The following is a 19014-nucleotide window of genomic DNA, read 5'->3' as shown; positions in this document are numbered from 1 at the left end:
CTCACCCATTCATGAACATGGAACTGTTTCCAGTTTTGGGCTATTAAGAATAAAGCTCCTGTGAAAATTTATGTTCAATTCTTTATCTGGGTGTGGATTTTCTTTTTAGGTAATTATTTAAATTGACAAAGAAAAATTGTGTAAATTTATCATGTACCACGTTTTGAAATATGTATACATTGTGGAATGACTACGTTGAAATAATTAAACTGACATACTTATCACATTACCTCACATACTTTCCATTTTTTGTGGTGAGGACACTTAAAATCTACTTCTGTCATTTTCAAGATGGATGTAGATTTTTGTTTATCTTAATACTCAAGGAATGGCATTGCTGGGCTATTTTTTATATATATATATATATATATTCCTTTTTTTTCTGTTTCTTTGAGATGGAGTCTCACTCTGTTGCTCAGGCTGGAGTGCAGTGCCTCGATCTTGGCTCACTGCAGCCTTTATTTTTAGTAGAGACAGGGTTTTGCTATGTTGGCCAGGCTGGTCTCGAACCCTTGTGATCCACTTGCCTCAGCCTCCCAAAGTGCTTAAATTACAGGAGTGAGCCACCATGCCTGGCCTGATAAATATATTTTTAACTTTATAAGAAACTTCACAAGATTCTTTTCCAAAGCTGGAATACTCTTTTGCATTTCTCCCAGCAATCATATGAGAGTTTCGGTTACTTCATATTCATGCAACACTTGATGTTGTCAGTCTTGATTTTTTACCATTCAAGAGAGTGTGTAATATTAACTCCTGGATTTAATTTGCATTTCCATAATGACTAAAGATACCGAGCATCTTTTCAGGTGTTTACTTGCTATCTGTATATGTTCTTTGGTAAAGTGACTGTTCGAATATTTACTCATTTGTTTTTGCTGAGTCACTTTATTGAATTGTAAGTAATATATTCAGGATATAAGTCCTTTATAAGATATAAGTTTTGCGATTATCATCTCCTAGTTTTTGGCTTGCCTTTTCAGTTTTTCGTTTTTTTTCTTTTTTTGAGACAGAGTCTTGCTCCATCGCCCAGGCTGGAGTGCAGTGGCGCCATCTTGGCTCACTGCAAGCTCCGTCTCCCGGGTTCATTCCATTCCCCTGCCTCAGCCTTCCGAGTAGCTGGGACTACAGCTGCTTGCCACCACACCCAGCTAATTTTTTTGTATTTTTAGTAGAGACGGGGTTTCACCGTGTTAGCCAGGACGGTCTTGATCTCTTGACCTTGTGATCCACCTGCTCAGCCTCCCAAAGTGCTGGGATTACAGGCGTGAGCCACCACGCCCAGCCTGACTTTTCACTTTTTAACCATGACTTTAAGAGAGTAAACATTTTTAATTTTGATGATATCCAACTTACCAAATTTTTCTTTCATGATTCATGCTTTTTGACAAGGGAATTAAAATGGTACACTAGAAAATATCTACTTAACAAAAAGAAGGCAGTAATAGAGTAATAGCGTGACAAAAAAGACGTAAGACATGGCCGGGCATGGTGGCTCACGCCTGTAATCCCAGCTCTTTGGGAGGCGGGTGGATCACCTGAGGTCAGGAGTTCATGACTAGCCTGGCCAACATGGTGAAAACCTGTCTCTACTAAAAATACAAAAATTAGCTGAGATCATGCCACTGCCCTCCAGCCTGGGTGACAGAGTGAGACTGCATCTCAAAAAAAAAAAAAAAAAAGACACAAGACATATAGAAAACAAATAGGTAAATGGCAGATGTAAATCCTACCTTACCAGCAATTACATTAAATGTAAGTGGATTAAACATTCAGTTTAGAGGCAGAAATTGGCAGAATGGATACAAAACCATGATCCAACTGTATACTGTCTACAACAGACAGATTTTGTATTCAAAGATGCAAATATGTTGAGAGTAAAAGGGTGCAAAAAGACATACCAAGCAAACATTAGCTGAAGGAGAGCTGGAGTGGCTATACTATTTAATAATATCAAAGTAGACTTTAAGACAAAAATTATTACTAAAGACAAAGAACATTTTATAATGAGAAAAAGGTCAATCCATCAAGAAGATTAAACAATTATATGTATATACCTAACAACAGAGCCCCCAAACTCCTAAGCCACCATGGTGGTACATGCTTATAGTTCCAGCTACTCACGAGAGTGAGGTGGGAGGATCACTTAAGCCCGGGAGTTTGAGTCCAGACTGGACAACACAGCCAGATCCTGTCTCTCTCTAAAAAAAAAAAAATTATATATGTATATATATATATATATAAAATTAGGAAGAGTTTGTGAAGGATTGCTATTAATTGTTTTCTAAAGCTTTGGTAGAATTCACCAGTGAAACCATTGGGTCCTAGGCCTTTCTTTGTGGTAAGTGTTCTTTATTACTAATGTAATCTGTCTACTTGTTATGGATCTATTTGGATTATACACACACACACACACACACACACATACACATACACATATACTCATGAAGTGAATCTGACATAATGGAAGGGAGGATAGACAATTCAACAGTCATAGTTGCAGACTTCAATACTCTACTTTCAATAACTGATAGAACAACTAGACAAAAGATCAGCCAGGAAATAGAAGATTTGAACAATATAAACCAAAGAGAGCTAAGAGGGATCTCTGGAACACTCCATCCAACAACAGCAGAATATGTATTCTTCTCAAGGGCACGTGGAACATTCTACAGGACAGACTATCTGTTAGGCCACAAACCAAGTCTCAATAAATTTAAGAGGATTGAAATAATATGAAATATATTCTCTGACCAACAATAGAACAACATTTAGAAATTAGTAACAGATATTTGAAAAATTCACAAATATATACAAATTAAACACATATGTAAGTAATCATTGAATCAAAGCAGAAATCACAAAGGATATTAGAAAATAAGTTGAGGCCAGGTGCAGTAGCTCACGCCTGTAATTCCAGCACTTTGGGAGGCCGAAGCGGGTGGATCCCTTGAGGTCAGGAGTTTGAGACCAGCCTGGCCAACATGGTGAAACCCCATCTCTACTAAAAATATAAAAGATTAGCCAGGCCTGGTGGCAGGCACATGTAGTCCCAGCTACAAGGGAGGCTGAGGCAGGAGAATCATTTGAGCCCGGGAGGCAGAGGTTGCAGTGAGCTGAGATCATGCCACTGCACTTCAGCCTGTGTGACAGAGCGAGACTCTGTCTCAAAAACAAACAAACAACAACAAAAAACCCCGAAAAAAACAAGTTGAGATGAATGAAAATGAAAACAAAAAGATAACGTACCATTCCAAAAACATGGGATGCAGCAGAAACAGTGCTTATAGGAAAATGTAGAGTAGTATGCTCTGATACTTAAAAAAATCCAATCAATAACCTAAACATTCACCTGAAGAAACCAGGAAAAGAAGAACAAACTAAACTCAAAGCAAACAGAAGAAAGGAAATAATAAAGATGAAAGCAGAAAAAAATAGAATAGAGAACAGAAAACCAATATAAAAAATCAGCAAAATCAAAAGTTAGTTCTTGGAAAAGATCAACAAAATGGGCAGCCTTTAGCTAGACTAAGAGAGAGAGAGAGAGAGAGAGAGAAGAGAGACTTGCTAACATCAGGAGTCAAATAAAATATATTACTACCAGCCTTAAAGAAATAAAACAGATTATAAGAGAACACTATAAAAAGTTGTATACCAACAAATTAGATAACCTAGATAAAATGGACAAATTAGAAACAAATTACCAAAACTGACTCAAGAATAAATACAGAATCCGAATAGATCTATAACAAGTCGACAGATTACATTAGTAATAAAGAATGCTTCCCACAAAGAAAGGCCCAAGCCCCAATGGCTTTATTGGTGAATTCGACCAAAGCTTTAGAGAACAATTAATAGCAATCCTTCAAACTCTTCCAAAAAATAGACAAGGAGGGAACACTTCCCTTATTCTATGAGGCTAGTATTATACTGATACCAAAGCCAGACCCCTCCACTCAAAAAGTACAACACTCCCCCCTTCAAAAAAAACTACAGACCAATATCTCTTATGAATATAGACACAAAATTCTCAACAAATTCTCAGGGAAGATGATGATCACTCATTTACTTATTTTTTGATAAGCGTCAGTCAGGCTTCCCTCTGGTTCTTAGTATTAGGCTTTTCCCTGAGGAAACCCCAACCTCTTTTTTCATCTACCACTTGGGTCAGATTTTCTGTTCCTGTTACGGACATCCCTTACTGTCTTTGGAGCAAATCACTGAAAAGCATTTTCTGTTGTAATTTATCCAGTGTTGGAATTTTTCCTGCTTTTTAGATTAGTTCAAGCAATGCTGGAAGAAACTCCTTTCTTTGGTGAATTCGTCCATCATTCTCAGTGTCACCTACTTCGTGACACGCAACTCTCCAGTTAGGGTTGGAAATTCCTTCTTTACTTTACCAGATCACTTTGTTTGGGTCTCTTAGCACTTTTCATGTTCTTTTCATGAAATTACCATCTCATGAGTACTCTCGTACTCATTTTGCATCCTCAGTGCCTGGCATATAGTGGGCCTTCAGAAGTATCTTTGGAAACAATTGAAGATTTCCAGCTTTTTGGGTGAGGAAGACCCTTTTCTGACTGGCCGCAAATATTCCTTCTCTCATCCCACCTGCCCACACTGAGATCTCTCTGGCTTTGGTTACAGTCAATTTCCCTTCTGTGTGTTAGTCTAGAATGTTCATTGGCTGATTCTCCTTACGTATCATGGGCAACTTTGTCTGCAGGAGCCTGATCCATAATTTTGCCTTCAAAAGTAAATCCTGGCTCTTTCCTCTCCAGAAAGCCATGAGCTGCCCAGAATTCTCGGCAAGACCTGGGTTTTGAGTTTACAAAAGGAACCACTTTATTCTTGTCTCACTAGAACTGACCCCAAGCTGTGGTATCTGGCCAGCCAAACTTAGCTTGACTGGGCCCAGTATTGCCCTTGCAGTGTTCCAGGAATCTGGGGGACCAGCTCCCTCTCTCCCCGAAAGCCAGCTAGCCAGACCTGTGCACCCTCCATAGCCTTTGCACTGGCCTGCTGGGGCCTCTGCACTGAATGCAGTGACAGGAGGCTGAGCACAGGAGTGACATGGGATGGCTGGGATCTGTACTGATGGCCACGTGAAGCAGGCAGCTCCACAGCTCTGCAGTGGCCTCCTCCTTCCTCCAGAAAGATAAGCCTCACATTACACCCTAGGCTCAGCTCAGCCTTAGTTCCTCTGCAAAACCTTAAGTATATGCTCCTAGGAGGAATTAGGGCTTTGTTAAATTCCCTCAGTACCGGGCCATGATGTATTAGTTACCTGATTTCAAGTCCATCTGCCTCACGAGGCAAGTTCATTTAGTGAAGACCTATGGTGTGCTGGGTGCTCGGGTGGAGAATCCAAGCACAGCTGCTTTCCTTAGCGAGGTCACAGTGTATTGGCGGAGACAGAAACGTGAACAAGAATGATCAGGGGACTGGATGGTTAGGCTGGGCCTTCAAAGATGAATAGATATGACCAGACAGAGAAAGCCAGTGGTCAGGGTAGGGGATAGAGAGAAATTGAGGCAGAGGAAACAGTAGAGGCCAGACATCACGGCTTATTCTGCAAGTGTAAATTGCTGTCAATGGTTAGGGCCAAATTCGGGTGAAGGGGCAGGTTAGTGGGAAATAAAAGGGACGAGGCAGACAGGGCCACACTGGAGTCTCTACCGTAGGGCAGGTGCTGGAGCTCTCATCGCACAGTGCTGAGCAGCGGGGAAGCATCAGATTTGCGTTAGAAGCAGCACCTGAACACTTGTGTGGAGGATCGCTCCCTGATTGCTGGTGAGACTCAGGCAGGGGGCTTAATTAGTAGTTTGCCTACCAGACAGCAAAGAGCTACTCTGGGGGACCTCTGAGAGGTAAGAGCTGGCAGGATTTGCTGAGCAATGTGCTGTGGTGTTGAGGGAAGAATTTAGAATGGCTCCCAGATTTCTCCTTTGGGCAACCGGGTCCACAGAAGGCAGACCCCATTAGCAAGGGGCTGACACCTAGTAACAGGGTGATGAGGCTTTGCTCCAGGACCCCGAGGAGGGAGAAATTGTAAACTGATGGCAACTCAGACACAAGCTGAGGTCAGTCTGCCTCTTAAAATCTGGATTAGGCTGATTGGAACCCACATTTCTTGACCTGTGTCCCCCTTTGCCCCCTGGACTTCTGAGAGTTCTCAGGTTTAGATTCTTATGGTCACTTCTGGCCCTCAGCTCCTGCTTCTAGCGAACCAATTCCATTCATGGGTCACCCGTGCCATGCCAGACTCATGGCCTGCCCACCGCCATGTTGGCCCAGATGCTGTTTTCTTCACTGGGGGAGTGTCCAGTAACACATTCAAGGCCATGTGCACACAGCAGATGTTACATGAGATTTGGGGAGCTGGAGGGGGTTCACTCCATAGAAGTGCAAATAGGGCAAGATCTTCTCATTTGGCCGGGCGCGGTGGTCCACGCTTGTAATCCCAGAATTTTGGGAGGCCGAGGCAGGTGGATCACGAGGTCAGGAGTTCGAGACCAGCCTGTTCAATATGGTGAAACCCTGTCTCTACTAAAAAATACAAAAATTAGCTGGGCATGGTGGCGGGTGCCTGTAGTCCCAGCTACTCTGGAGGCTGAGGCTGGAGAATCGCTTGAACCTGGGAATCGGAGGTTGCAGTGAGCCGAGATCACGCCATTGCACTCCAGCCTGGGTGACAGAGTGAGACTCTGACTCAAAAACAACAAAACAAACAAACAAACAAAAAGATCTTCCCATTTAAGAAAGGTCTTTGAACACCTTGAGGCCAGCCAGTTCCCACTGGGGTGCTTTCCCACAGAGCCCCTCATTCTTGCACCATCTTGTTGATTATACCGGTTGCGTGTCCCCTCCACCCCTAATTATTTCAGGAAATCCCGAATTATTCTTGTGCTATAGTGCAGCAGGTACTCCCACCAACCTTTTGGAGCTCAGCTTTAGGTCCCTTTCATTTTACAAACCAAGTTCCTAATTGAGGAAAAGGGTGTCTTGAGATGAATATCATCCACCATGCTTAGAGGGTAGTGGTAGTTTTAAGTAGCACTTTTCCAACATTATGTACATTTACAAGATTATTAAAAACAAGTATTATTTTCTCTCAACTACTGTCTCCTACCTCTTCCTCCTGCACCCCTGGTGAACTCCCTCCTTTGGTAGCTGGGAACCCTAGGTTAAGAATCGGGTACCTGCTGTCTGGGGTTCTGTCTGTGGTTAGCAGTGGTTCCTCTTGGCTCCCTGGTTCTCCAATCCCTGCCCATGGCCCTGTCATCATCAATTTGATGGCTTGCTTATTGCTTGTCTCCAGTCTCTCCTGATGGTTCTCCCCACTTCTGGCAGGAAGGTGGCTGCAATTGGGAGAGGTTGATGGATGGGGCAGGAATGGGGTAGGGGAAGAGGTGTTTCTTCTTCGTATACACCCTTGTCCATATGCTCATCTTAGAACAAATCTGCAAGATATTCTTGTGTTAGTTCCCAGCTTGAAGTTGGTCATGAGGCAGCACCATTGTTTCTTTTTCTTTTTTTTTTTTTTTTTTGAGATGGAGTTTCACTCTTGCCCAGGCTGGAGTGCAATGGCATGGTCTCTGCTCACTGCAACGTCCGTCTCCCAGGTTCAAACGATTCTCCTGCCTCAGCCTCCCAAGTAGCTGGGATTATAGGCGCCCGCCACCATGCCTGGCTAATTTTTGTATTTTTAGTAGAGACAGAGTTTCACTATGTTGGCCAGGCTGGTCAAGAACTCCTGATCTCAGGTGATCCGCCTGCCTCTGCCTCCCAAAGTGCTGGGATTACAGGCGTGAGCCACTGGGCCCAGTCCAGCATCGTTTCTCATGACTGTCATCTTTCATCTTTCACGTTTACCCCAGGAGGCCAAACGGCCATGGCTGCTGAAATGGGAGTGTTCTAGCACCAGAACACTGGGGACCTACTAGGATCCCTGCCAGGAGGGGGCTTCTTGTGCGCGTGTGTGAAGCCTTTCAGCACGCTCCAGGGCATGAGTCCTCGTGACTGTTTGTCTATCCATCCAAGAGACAAGCATCTGCTATTGTCAGAAACTGCCCCTGGCATTAGACATTCAGAAAGGAGTGAGAAATAATCTTGTCCCCACTGAGCCCACAGGGCCCAGGAAAAGACTCAAACAAATCATGGTAATATGTGCCAAGAGCTCCACCTAGGGACGCACAGGAGGGATAGTAGCAGCAGACGCCCGGCACTTAAGACAGAATGGCAGTAAAGAGGACACTCCAGGCAGACTGAGAATGGCCTCACTGGTAGCTTTCTGTGGCCACACCCCTGGTACACAAGGCAACATTAGTCTGGACCTGGAGGCTGTGGCAGACAAGCACCAACCTGCAGCTATGGGAGCATGGACTTCATCCTGAGCCCAGTGGAGTGTGGCTAATGGGAAGGACGGGATTTGGGCTTCCTAAAGTACACTCTAGCCACAGAGCAGATGAACAGTGGGGCAAAGGGAGCAGTGAGGACACTGTGCTCTGTGTTTAGCCCTCATTCTATTATTGCAAGCTCAGGCCTCTGGCTGCTGAGGTCCCCTATTCCCTGGCCCAGACTCTGGGACACCACGAGGAATCTTACACAGTGAACACAGTAAGGTGAGGCAGCCTGGGGCAAGCGGGCATCCCAGGAGACATCTGCTCCAGCTTCAGGTCCCTATGAGTGGTGGGGCTGGGAGTGGGGAGGCCAGGCCCCACGTGGACAGTCAGTCTGCCCTAACAGAATGCGCTGCCGCGGCAGGGACATGGCCTGCACTCCATTCAGGGACGGCTGCCAGGGGCCCCCTCTGATTCCTCAGGCTGCTCAGTCCCTGCAGGGCAGCAACAGGGGGATGGGAACAGGGACAAGACTCATTTTTGGTACTGGTGGACGGTCCAAACACCTCCTGCAGCCTCCTGGCTCACCTGCCACCCTTCCCTGAGTCTCCTCATAGACTACTGGCTTTACAGTTGTGAAGGCAACCGTGAAGTCAGTTAGAGGCTGGGAAGCAGGGGGCCCCAAAGTTGTTGTTATTTTTTTTTTTTAAGGACAAAGGAAAATAACTCTTTGACCAGACCAGAGTTTGATTGGATTAAAAAAGTGTATTGGATTTCCAATACTAAATAAAAACATGAAATCGTTTTTAAAAAGCCATAGAGTTTACAGCATCAACTACAGAAAAGGCCAAACAAGTGTGTACAGACGCCAGTCCCAGCAGCCCTCTGGGCCCCTCCCACAGGCAGTGCGGCGACAGACACAGGTGTTCCAAATCCCCCCGAGGAAGCTGCTGAGCGGCAGCTCAACCAGGACACTACAGGACACACAATGGTTTAGTTTCGAAAATCACAGGAAAATGTAAGAAAATGTATTAAATTGTGAAAAGGTGCAATACAGAATAGCTTTCCTTTTTCTTAATTTTTTAAAAAACCCCCAACTTTGAACAGTTATTTTATTTAAAAATAGGCCCCTCCCCCACCCGCCCCAATTCTGTGGCAGTATCCAGGTACCAAGGCCCTGAGGTAACAGAAGCAGTCAGGGTTTGTGGGAGGAAATGCCCCAAATACTGAGCATGTTCTTTGGGCAAAAGGTAGTTTCTGGGGAATCTGGCCCTCCTGGTGGCCAGAGTGCTGGGACAGCTCTCTTCAGGATCAGTTTAAGTGCACTGGTTTTCCAGAATCCCGCCTGGCACCCCCATGTGACCAGCGAGCTCGGCAGCAGCAGTTCCTGCATTGCACCTTTCATTGCCCCCCAAATCATAAATACAAAGAGTTCATCTTGTAAAAAAGCAAGTATGTGACAAGATCAAACATGGCAAATCCCCAAGTTCAAAGGCAGGTGGCCTGGGGTACCCACTGGTGGTTTCAGCAGCTGATCTCTTCTTGGCTATAGAACTGAAGCCCGATTTACTGTCTACACTGCCTTCCACGCTGTCTTCTGGGGATCTGTTGGGGAGTAGGGGAAGATGCCTGAGCGTCAGTCGTGTGTTTTCCATTATATATTCTTAATATTAAAAAACCACACACCTCAGCTCCTTACCTTTTTAGGAAAAAGAACCCAAGAACTATGTGCAAAGGCAATGGCTTCCATGTGTGGCTGAGCGGCTGGGTTCACCTCAGACAACTCCTGTGGCTTCATTCTCATCAGGGCTTAGCTGAGCTGCTGGGATGGGGGGGGTGGGCAGCTGTTTCCGCTGTCCCTGCCCTTGTTACTTGAAAAATAATATTCAGAAAGATGTGTGGAAGCCTCAGGGGGCACTGCAGCTCTGCCTTGTCTCATTCCTGCTAATGCTTTCTCTGAAGGGGCTCTGAAGTGTGGAAGAGAGCGCTGGACTGGCTGAAGACTGAACTAGAGAGAAGAAGGAGTCGTATACGGAAACAAACAAGTTCCTTCCTTAACCTCCAACTTCCTCAAAGAGAGCCAATAATAGCAGCAGGAAAGGGTCTCCATCCTTGCTTTCTGATTTACAGAATGGGGTCAGGCTCTTACCCTATTCTGTGTGACTCAGGCAGTTAGAAATACAACATCTGGCTCCTCAGCATGGACATTCTTACCAGGCTATGACCAAGACATCAGGGCCGCTAAATCCTCAAACCCATCTATTGCACAGAAGAATTTTAAAACCAGATCCAAATCAAACTCCAGTTGCAACGTAGTGACAATAAGGATGGACATGCCAGGAAAGGACAATAAAGAAGATGCTTCCATTCTCTGCAGGCTTCTGGAAGAAAGTACAATGACAGAAACATTCACAGGACCTCAGCAGCCCCTCCATTTCCTATTACCAACCCCCAGCCCCCCACCCGCCCCAATACTGAAACTGCACAGAAAGCAACAAACAAGTCTTTTCAATGTTACATTTCATTCAATTCAAATAGATCTGTAATCTCACAGTGATGAGAGGAAAGAGTCAGGCCTTTAATAATTATAATAAAAAAATAATAAAAAAAGCTTACAAACAGCAATGCAACATTTCCTCCCCCTCAGAGTGATGGATTAACAGCTGGTAGAGGATGCAATGACTCAGAATTAAAAAATAAAAATGAAACCAAAAAACAAGCCAACCCCAGGAACGACCCACACTGTCAAAGACTTTCCATACATAATTGGAACAAGCAGTCAAATGTCAACCACTTGTGGAGAACACCAAGGACTTCCTTGGTTTTGGATGGCGTTTTTGTTTTTGAAGGTAAAATAAAATAAGACACAAATAAAATTGTACATAAATGCCAATGTCTACACTCCATAAAGGTGATGCAGTCACAGCACAAAGACACGGCCTGACCACAAAGTGAAATGCAGGTTGCACTTCTCGCCTCTTCCCTGGACACAAAATTTTGGCCCATGGTGCCCAGTCCTGCAGAATATCAGCAGGCAAAGGGAAGCTGCCTCGACACAGGCTTCTTCCAGGCTGACCAGGGGAAGGCAGGTGGCCATGCCTGGAGCCAGCCCTACACAGAGGCGCTGGCCAGTCTGCTGGCTCATTCTGTGTTCTCAAGTGCTGTCCTCTCGTACTCTGTACAATTCCTTGTTTTCAAGGGTAAGTTCCAAGACTTCCAGACTCAGGTTTGAAGTCAGGTCCTGGTGAAGGTCGTCATGCTGTTGTGATAGCGTTTAGGTCCTTCATTAGTCCTTCCAGGTGGGCCATCTCTTTGGTCAGCTCATCTGGTTCATAGCTCTATGGAAAAGAAAACACTGTTACTGGGCTGGATCCAGGGAGCAGCTCAGAAAGGAGAGCCCAGAGAGAGGCCAAAGCCTCATGTGGTCAGTAGTCAAATGGCCCCAGAAAACTGGCTACTAACACGCAGGGTGGCTCAGAAGAGTGGAAAGTAGCAGGATAGACCCAAGGTCACTAGGATCCCGTTTCCTGATAATGCACAATGCCTTTCTCCCAACACATACTCCCCAGGGTCACAATGACTTCACAGGCCAGAAGGCCCACTGCTTGCCCCTTCTAGGTCTCTGCCCCAGTCAGCACAGTTGGTATGTCCCTGGATCTCTGGGCCCCAAGCTTTCCGCTTAGAGAATCCTGTACCTGGAAATTCAGAGGCAAAACATTTTTACTGGAGTTTGAGAGTGAAAGATCAAAGAAAGACCCTGGTGATTTTTGTTTCGAGAACAACCACTCAGGCACTTTCTCCTCCAGCATCTTGCTCAGGAAAGGTCACAGAGTAGAACTGAGGGAATGTATGGATGGTTCAAACCAAGAAAAGAACAATGACAGAAGGGACAGAACTAAAAGGCAGGCAGGATGTGGGGGAAGGGGCCATTAGCTGGGCTAGTGTGAAAAGCTAATTTAAGATGTTCAAGAGTGGATATGGGGGCCGAGCGTGGTGGCTCACGCCTGTTATCCCAGCACTTTGGGAGGCTGAGGCAGGTGGATCACCTGAGGTAGGGAGTTCAAGACCAGCCTGGCCAACATAGTGAAACCCCATCTCTATTAAAAATACAAAACAATAGCCAGGCATGGTGATGGGTGCCTGTAGTTCCAGCTACTCAGGAGGCTGAGGCAGGAGAATCCCTTGAACCCAGGACGCAGACGTTGTAGTGAGCCGAGATCATGCCACTGTATTCCAGCCTGGGAGACAGAGCAAGATTCTGTCTCAAAAAAAAAAAAGAGTGGATATGGGAAAGAAAGCACACCAAGTCCTCAGCACAGTTCCCGGCTCAGAAGAGATGCTCAACACTGTATCTACTGAATGAATGAGTGTATCTGCTTCATAGTTCTGGGTGGCGGGCCTGGTATGCACAGATTATCAGCTTGACCAGCAGTCTCAGGCCCTGGGGCATGTTCCCAGGCAATCTGGCTGGACTGATGGCCCCACGAACTTACACTCTCGGAGTCTTCCAACATCCTTGTGGTCTCCTGCACTTCAGGGGCACTGGGAACAACCACTGGCATAGGAGGCCGGCTCCTTCCTAGAGTCCCGATGGAGGCTGTCTTCACTGAGTGAATGTGATGGTTCAGAGCTGAGGGGAAAGGGCACCATCAGATATGTGGCCAAGCCTGCCTCCCCTAGACCTCATGAAGGCCCTAAGGTCCAAGTGCTGCTTCGGGGTGAGAGAGACATACAGACCCAGTGCAGGGATACTGCTCTGAAAAGTTACTGGAATAAGAGGGAAGGAGGGAGATAGCAGGGCATTCATGAGGCCAGAGAAAATATTCCACTGTCTCTAGAAAACCAATATCCTAGTCCAGTGGTTCTCAAAGTGTGGTAGTCCACAAACCCTTGCAGGATATCTGGAAGGCCAAAGCTCTCTTTATAGTAAGACATTATTTGCCTTTCCACTGTGTTTGCCTTTGCACTGAGGATACAAAGGCAATAGTGGGTGAGCTGCTGGAGCCTTAGCACAAATTAAGGCAGTGGTGCCAAACTGTAAAGCCATTCACTGACACGCACGTGCAGTTTAAAAAAGCCAGTTTCACTAAGAACCATCCTTAATAAAGGAATACATATTTTTTATTTTACTAAATCTTGACCTTACTGTATGTGACAAAATGGAAAGTATGCATAAAGTACTTCAGCTGTGTGCAAAGTATGACAGCTGTCTTTTTTTTTGAGACGGAGTCTCTCCTTGTTGCCCAGGCTGGAGTGCAGTGGAGCAACCTCTGCTCACTGCAACCTCCACCTCCCGGGTTCAAGTGATTCTCCAGCCTCAGCCTCCCGAGTAGCTGGGATTACAGGTGTCTGCTACCACACCCGGCTAACTTTTTGTATTTTTAGTAGAGGCGGGGTTTCACCATGGTGGCCAGGCTGGTCTTGAACTCCTGACCTCAGGTGATCTACCCGCCTCGGCCTCCCGAAGTGCTGGGATTACAAGCGTGAGCCACCGCGCCCGGCCAACAGCTGTCTTAAATAAAGGTACTTGTGATAGTTTTGAGTTTTGAGTTGAATGTTTTTATCATGGAATATCACTGTTAGTTCAAAGACAGACAAACTGGTTCTTGAGACATCTTTTAGAAAATGAACAAAGTGAGCCTGTCAATTCAAGGAACACAATGGATAGTGTTTCTTGCCAATGATAAAATTTAAGTTTTAAGTAAAAATCAGGATTTTGGAAAACTTGCATCCGCCACCATGGTCTTGAGAACTTAATACTTACACATTTTGATGATATTAATGAATATGTTTTTAGATACTGGATAATGAAATGTATCACTATTTGCAGAATTTGCATAATGTAGTGGACCAATATTTTCTAAATGACCGATGTGTGATATTTTAGTATCATGCATTAAATGCAAGACAGATGAATGAATTTCAATGGAATGAAGTATGAATATTTCATAGATAAGGTTTCAGATTTCACTTTACAAACAAACCTTTAAAAAACTACAACTTGCTGAGTTTTGCTGTAGTATCAAAAAAGAATATCCACAATTATCTGAAAAGGTTATAAAAATACTCTTCCCTTTTCCAATTACATATCTGTTAGGCCAGATTTTCTTCTTATATTTCAACCAAAACACCATATTGCAACAGATTGAATGCAGAAGCAGATAGGAAAATCCAGCTGTCTTCTATTAAGCCAGACATTAAAGAGATCTGCAAAAAATAAAACGACTCTTCTCACTATATTTTTGTTTTGAAAATAGTTGCTTTTCGGCTGGGCGCAGTGGCTCACGCCTATATTCCCAGCACTTTGGGAGGCCGAGGTGGGCGGATCACGAGGTCAGGAGATCAAGACCATCCTGGCTAATGTGGTGAAACCCCGTCTCTACTAAATACACAAAAAATTAGCTGCGCATGGTGGTGGGCACCTGTAGTCCCAGCTGCTTGGGAGGCTAAGGCAGGAGAATGGCGTGAACCCGGGAGTCGGAGCTTGCAGTGAGCCGAGATTGCCCCACTGTACTCCAGCCTGGGTGACAGAGCGAGACTCCATCCCAAATAAAAAAAAAAAAAGGAAAATAGTTGTTTTTCATAAAAATATGCTACTTATCTTAACATGATAGATACTTGCTTTTTTAAATGAATAAAATACTTTAAAAATTTCTTAGTTTTAATTTTAATATGGTAAATATTGATAGATATAACCCATATGAAGAAAAGCTCTTTTAGGTGCTCAATAGCTTTTAAGCTATAAAGGGATACTGAGACCAGAAATTTTGAAAACCACTGGCTTATTCTAAAGCAAATGAATAGGTAACAATTTGGAAGAGCAGAAAGCAAGCATGCCTTTGAGGTCAGGGGACTGTTACTGAGCTGTGTGGATTTGGGTAAATGACTTTCCCTTCACAGGATTCCTTTCCCTATTCTGAGGTTACTTCTGCTTTCACCACCCTATGAGTCCAAGCCTTGGCCTCCCTGATCCCTTCTCTAGTTTGCAGGGACCTTACGAAGTGAGGTGATTCCAGGGGTCTGGGCAGACTAGATCTGCTATCCATTCCCATGCCATTGGACTTACCACCAAAGGTGCTGCACATAAAACACAATTCAAAAGGTCAGCCCTTGGTTCCCAGCAAATTATTCTCCGGTTTGTAAGTGTTCCCAGAAAAGGGGAGGCCATAAACTTCCTGGGCGGGGCAATGGCACACTGCTACGCTAACAGAATTGCTAAGATAGGCTTGGAGGATATTTGCTTTGCTATACTTCAAAGAAGGGGTGGCTTTGTCCCAAGCTTGAGCCAAAGGGTCACTCCAGGTGTGCTCCCTCCAGGTGTGCTGCCATCCTCACTCACCTTGCTGGGACAGTAATGGTGTGCTTGGCAATGCAGGATCATAGGTGGGAGGTCCTGGAGGCGGGATTGCTGGCACGGCGAAGCTCTTCAATGGGTGGGAAGGGCGAACATGGGCAGTGGGAAGACTCTGGCCTGAATCTTCCTCTTGGGAGCTGGCCAAGTAAGAGGAGCTGGTAGCACCTTCAGGGTCCTGGTGATCAGTGCAGCATGTTTGAGACGAAGAGGCTGGCATGGTGTCAGTGCTGGGGGTATTTCGAACGGATTCTACAGCAGGAAAGTCTAAATGTTAGCATTTCTTTTGCCATTAAATATGTGACAGTCCCACAGTTTGGCTACTTCTAGGGGTTCCCTAAACCAGCTCAATAGCACTTGCGATCAGTGCTAGTCCAAGAGAACATGGATTAGCACCACTGCCAGGGATAAGAATGGAGTCTCGAACAATTTTGTACTCAACCAGCTATTCCAGTTTTTCACCTCACAGCTAAGTGGTCACAATTTTGTAGATTTAAAGTTCTCCTCATTATTTATTATGAAGCACTTGTAAAGGTTCCTGAGATGACTAAGATATTAAGATATAAATAAGTATAAAAGAAAATTAAAAACTTCACTCACTGGAATCTTAGACAGTGGCCTTTCATAGACAACCATGGCTAACCACCAAGGCTGGCCGGGTACCTGACAGTAGCCAGCTCTGCTGACAAGGCCTGGCGGTCACTGCAGGAGAGGCCAATGCCACAGGCCTTCGTGCCTCCAGGGACTGTGCATGGCCTCATCACAGCAAAAAACCCATAGCTCAAGTGAGAATTGGACAACAAACAGAGCAGCCCAGAGGTCTGCACACAGCTTTCAGATCACACCAAATGAAGGGCATTTTTGATTCAGAGAAGGAAATGGGGGTAGATTAGCCTGGAGAAGGGAAGGCTCAGGAAGAACATGATAACAATCTCAAAATATAAGAAGGGGCAGAGTTGTTCTGGAAGGCAGCACAGCAGGGTAGAAAAGCACGGACTCTGGAGTCAGACAGACCTGGACTCCAATCTTTGTGTACTAGCTGGGTGAATTTGACAAAGTCACTGAATATCTCTGAGTCTCAGTTTCTTCATCTACAAAAGAGGGAGAATAACACATAATTCTTTGAGGATTGAATGAGATGTATGAAAAGTGCTGAACACGGTGCTTGAATATCTATCTATTAAGATTCTTTTCTTTGTAAATTACTGGGTGCTTACTTTAAGCCAAGCACTATGCCAGCTGCTTTACATTCATTAGTTCACTAGATCCTCAAAGTAACTCAGAAGGCACTGGGAGGTTAAGCAAATTGCCCATTTGCACAGTTAAGAACTAGCAGGGTGGAATCTGAATCCCTGCCTTCCGACTTCCACACACATGCTCTGGACCACCACACACCTTTCCACACCCAGACTACCACTTGCCCCCACCCTGTGGGGCAGAAGCAGCACCAAGGCCCGGGGAGACCACATAAGGAAGACCCTTCCAACAGCATGAGCTGGTGACCAGCTTCCCCACCTGTGAGGAGAGGGATGGGGACACAGCTCAGGGCAATGGACTGTACCAGGTGGCCTGAAGGCCTCTTCTGACTTCTGGAGTCCTCAACCTTAACAAGTACAGTAGTCCCCCTTATCCATGCTTTTGCTTTCAATGATTTCAATTATCTGTGGCCAACTGCTGTCCAAAAATTTAAATGAAAAATTCCAGAAATAAATAATTCATAAGTTTTACATTTTGCACCGTTCTGAGTAGCATGATGAAATCTTACGCCATTCCACTGGGGATGTGCCTCATCCCTTAGTCCAGCCTATCCAGACTGCGTACACTACCTGCCCTTGAGTCACTTAGTAGCTGTCTCGGTTATCAGATGGAGAAAACAGATATAAAGGGTTCAGTACTATATGCGACTTCAGGCCTCCACTGCGGGGGGAGGGGGAGGGTCTTGGAATGTATCCCCGCAGATGGGGATACTGTAAAGCATGAGCAATCTGCAGAAATCCAACACATTTCCCTGCCTTTGTTGCTGAAGTAGCAGTGAATCTGTGCCCTTGGGCTCTGAGAAGTCAGGCCACACCAGTCACGAGTGGCACCTCTGATCTTGGGTCCATGGATGAGGGACTCGTACACCCTCCCAAGTGTGCCTAACTATGTTGGCCCTACCAGGCTTAGGTCACTCCTCACCCCTTAAAGGGGTGTGCTGAGGATCTTCTTAGGCTTGCTCAAGCTAGCCATCCCCACGGCGGGGGAGCTGGTGGTCCCCCTCTGTGATCCTGGGCCAGGGAGAAGCTGGGCAGGGTAGGAGCTGGCTAGGAAGGGTAGCAGGGAGGAGGAGAGAGAACAGTAGACTCATGTCCAGGCCATGTCAGCCTGTACTGACAGATATGTTAGGTCAGCTCTGGGCAAACCGGCCTCTCCTGACTGCCTCAACGGTCTGTAACTGGATATATAAGCTTCTGAGGGCCAAAGAGATGGCGCAAAAGGTGAAAAAGGAAAATGGGGTTGCCTACATGAGTCAGCACCCAGGCCTGCTACCACAGACCAGGGCTGCCTTGCACAACTCCGGGGGCCCCAGGCACGTTGCTTTTATCATGAAGGGTGCTCCCTGACAGTGTGCAAAATCACTGGCCTGCTTAGAATCCATGCTGTAAGTAAAATTCCTGCTTTGGCAAGGGGGCTACTTCCTGACTGACTTGCCTCTTAAAGAGTTAAGACACACAGAGTTCACACTGGCCAAGTGATTGGACAAGAGGAAAGTGCTTTTCCAATGTCAAGTGGTGGTGACATAGTGAATGCTCCTTAGAGCAGAGACTGGCCCTGCTTAGCCCATATATACCAAGCTGTGGCAACACTCTGAGCTCCAGAGACACAGGAGCTTAGCAAAGTACAATCGTGAAAAAGAACTTTGATCATTTCTGGATACTTGCTCTATATTTCAAATCAGTCTTCAGTAAGTCTATCACTTTAGTTTTACCTTCTATTATCCAACTAGTCATCAAAGCATGGCCTCTCTCAGTAATGCAAATTATTCTTTCCCCCTCTCTTCACTTTCTGCCTAGGTCCGTAGAGCAGGGAATGCTTACCAATACTAGATCACAAGGGAGAGGGCTGGGTAGGAGCTGCCATGCTTCTCTCCAATCCCCAAACCCAGGAGGAAGGAGGAAGGGGCTGATTTGATTGGAAGGTGCCTGCCATCCACTCAGGCAGGACCACATCCTAGCATGTGAGATTCCTTGGCCTTAAAGATGGAGAAACAGGGTTGGGCACAAAACCTCCTTTCTAAGAGCAGGTGTGGAGGCTGCTTTCTGGTCCTCTGTTCTATTTGAG

At 45.5% G+C, this 19014-nt stretch overlaps 1 protein-coding gene and 1 non-coding gene across 30 annotated transcripts in view; both read right to left on the bottom strand.

Annotated features, from left to right (window-relative positions):
* The window catches only part of NEO1 (neogenin 1), a 253515-nt gene continuing 243587 nt past the window's right edge, over nt 9087-19014 (bottom strand). For 25 of the 29 annotated variants that reach the window (XM_047432591.1, XM_011521628.3, XM_011521633.4 and 22 more), the window contains 3 exons: nt 15682-15945; nt 12836-12972; nt 9087-11680 (listed from right to left, as the gene is read on the bottom strand). In XM_047432591.1, coding sequence (XP_047288547.1) covers nt 11597-11680; nt 12836-12972; nt 15682-15945 — 485 coding nt within the window. In that variant the 3' untranslated portion in view covers nt 9087-11596. The remainder of the gene's footprint in view (nt 11681-12835; nt 12973-15681; nt 15946-19014) is intronic. The other 4 variants (NM_001172624.2, NM_001419531.1, NM_002499.4 and 1 more) reach the window with 1 other exon arrangement.
* Nucleotides 14314-14383, bottom strand: MIR12135 (microRNA 12135). The gene has a single exon (NR_162148.1). It is a non-coding gene; the product is annotated as a microRNA 12135 (primary transcript).

This window comes from Homo sapiens, chromosome 15 (assembly GCF_000001405.40).
Source record: "Homo sapiens chromosome 15, GRCh38.p14 Primary Assembly".
In the NCBI taxonomy this organism is placed as follows: domain Eukaryota; kingdom Metazoa; phylum Chordata; class Mammalia; order Primates; family Hominidae; genus Homo; species Homo sapiens.
Note: the sequence above shows the minus strand (reverse complement) of the source record. Positions and strands in the feature narration are given on the sequence as shown.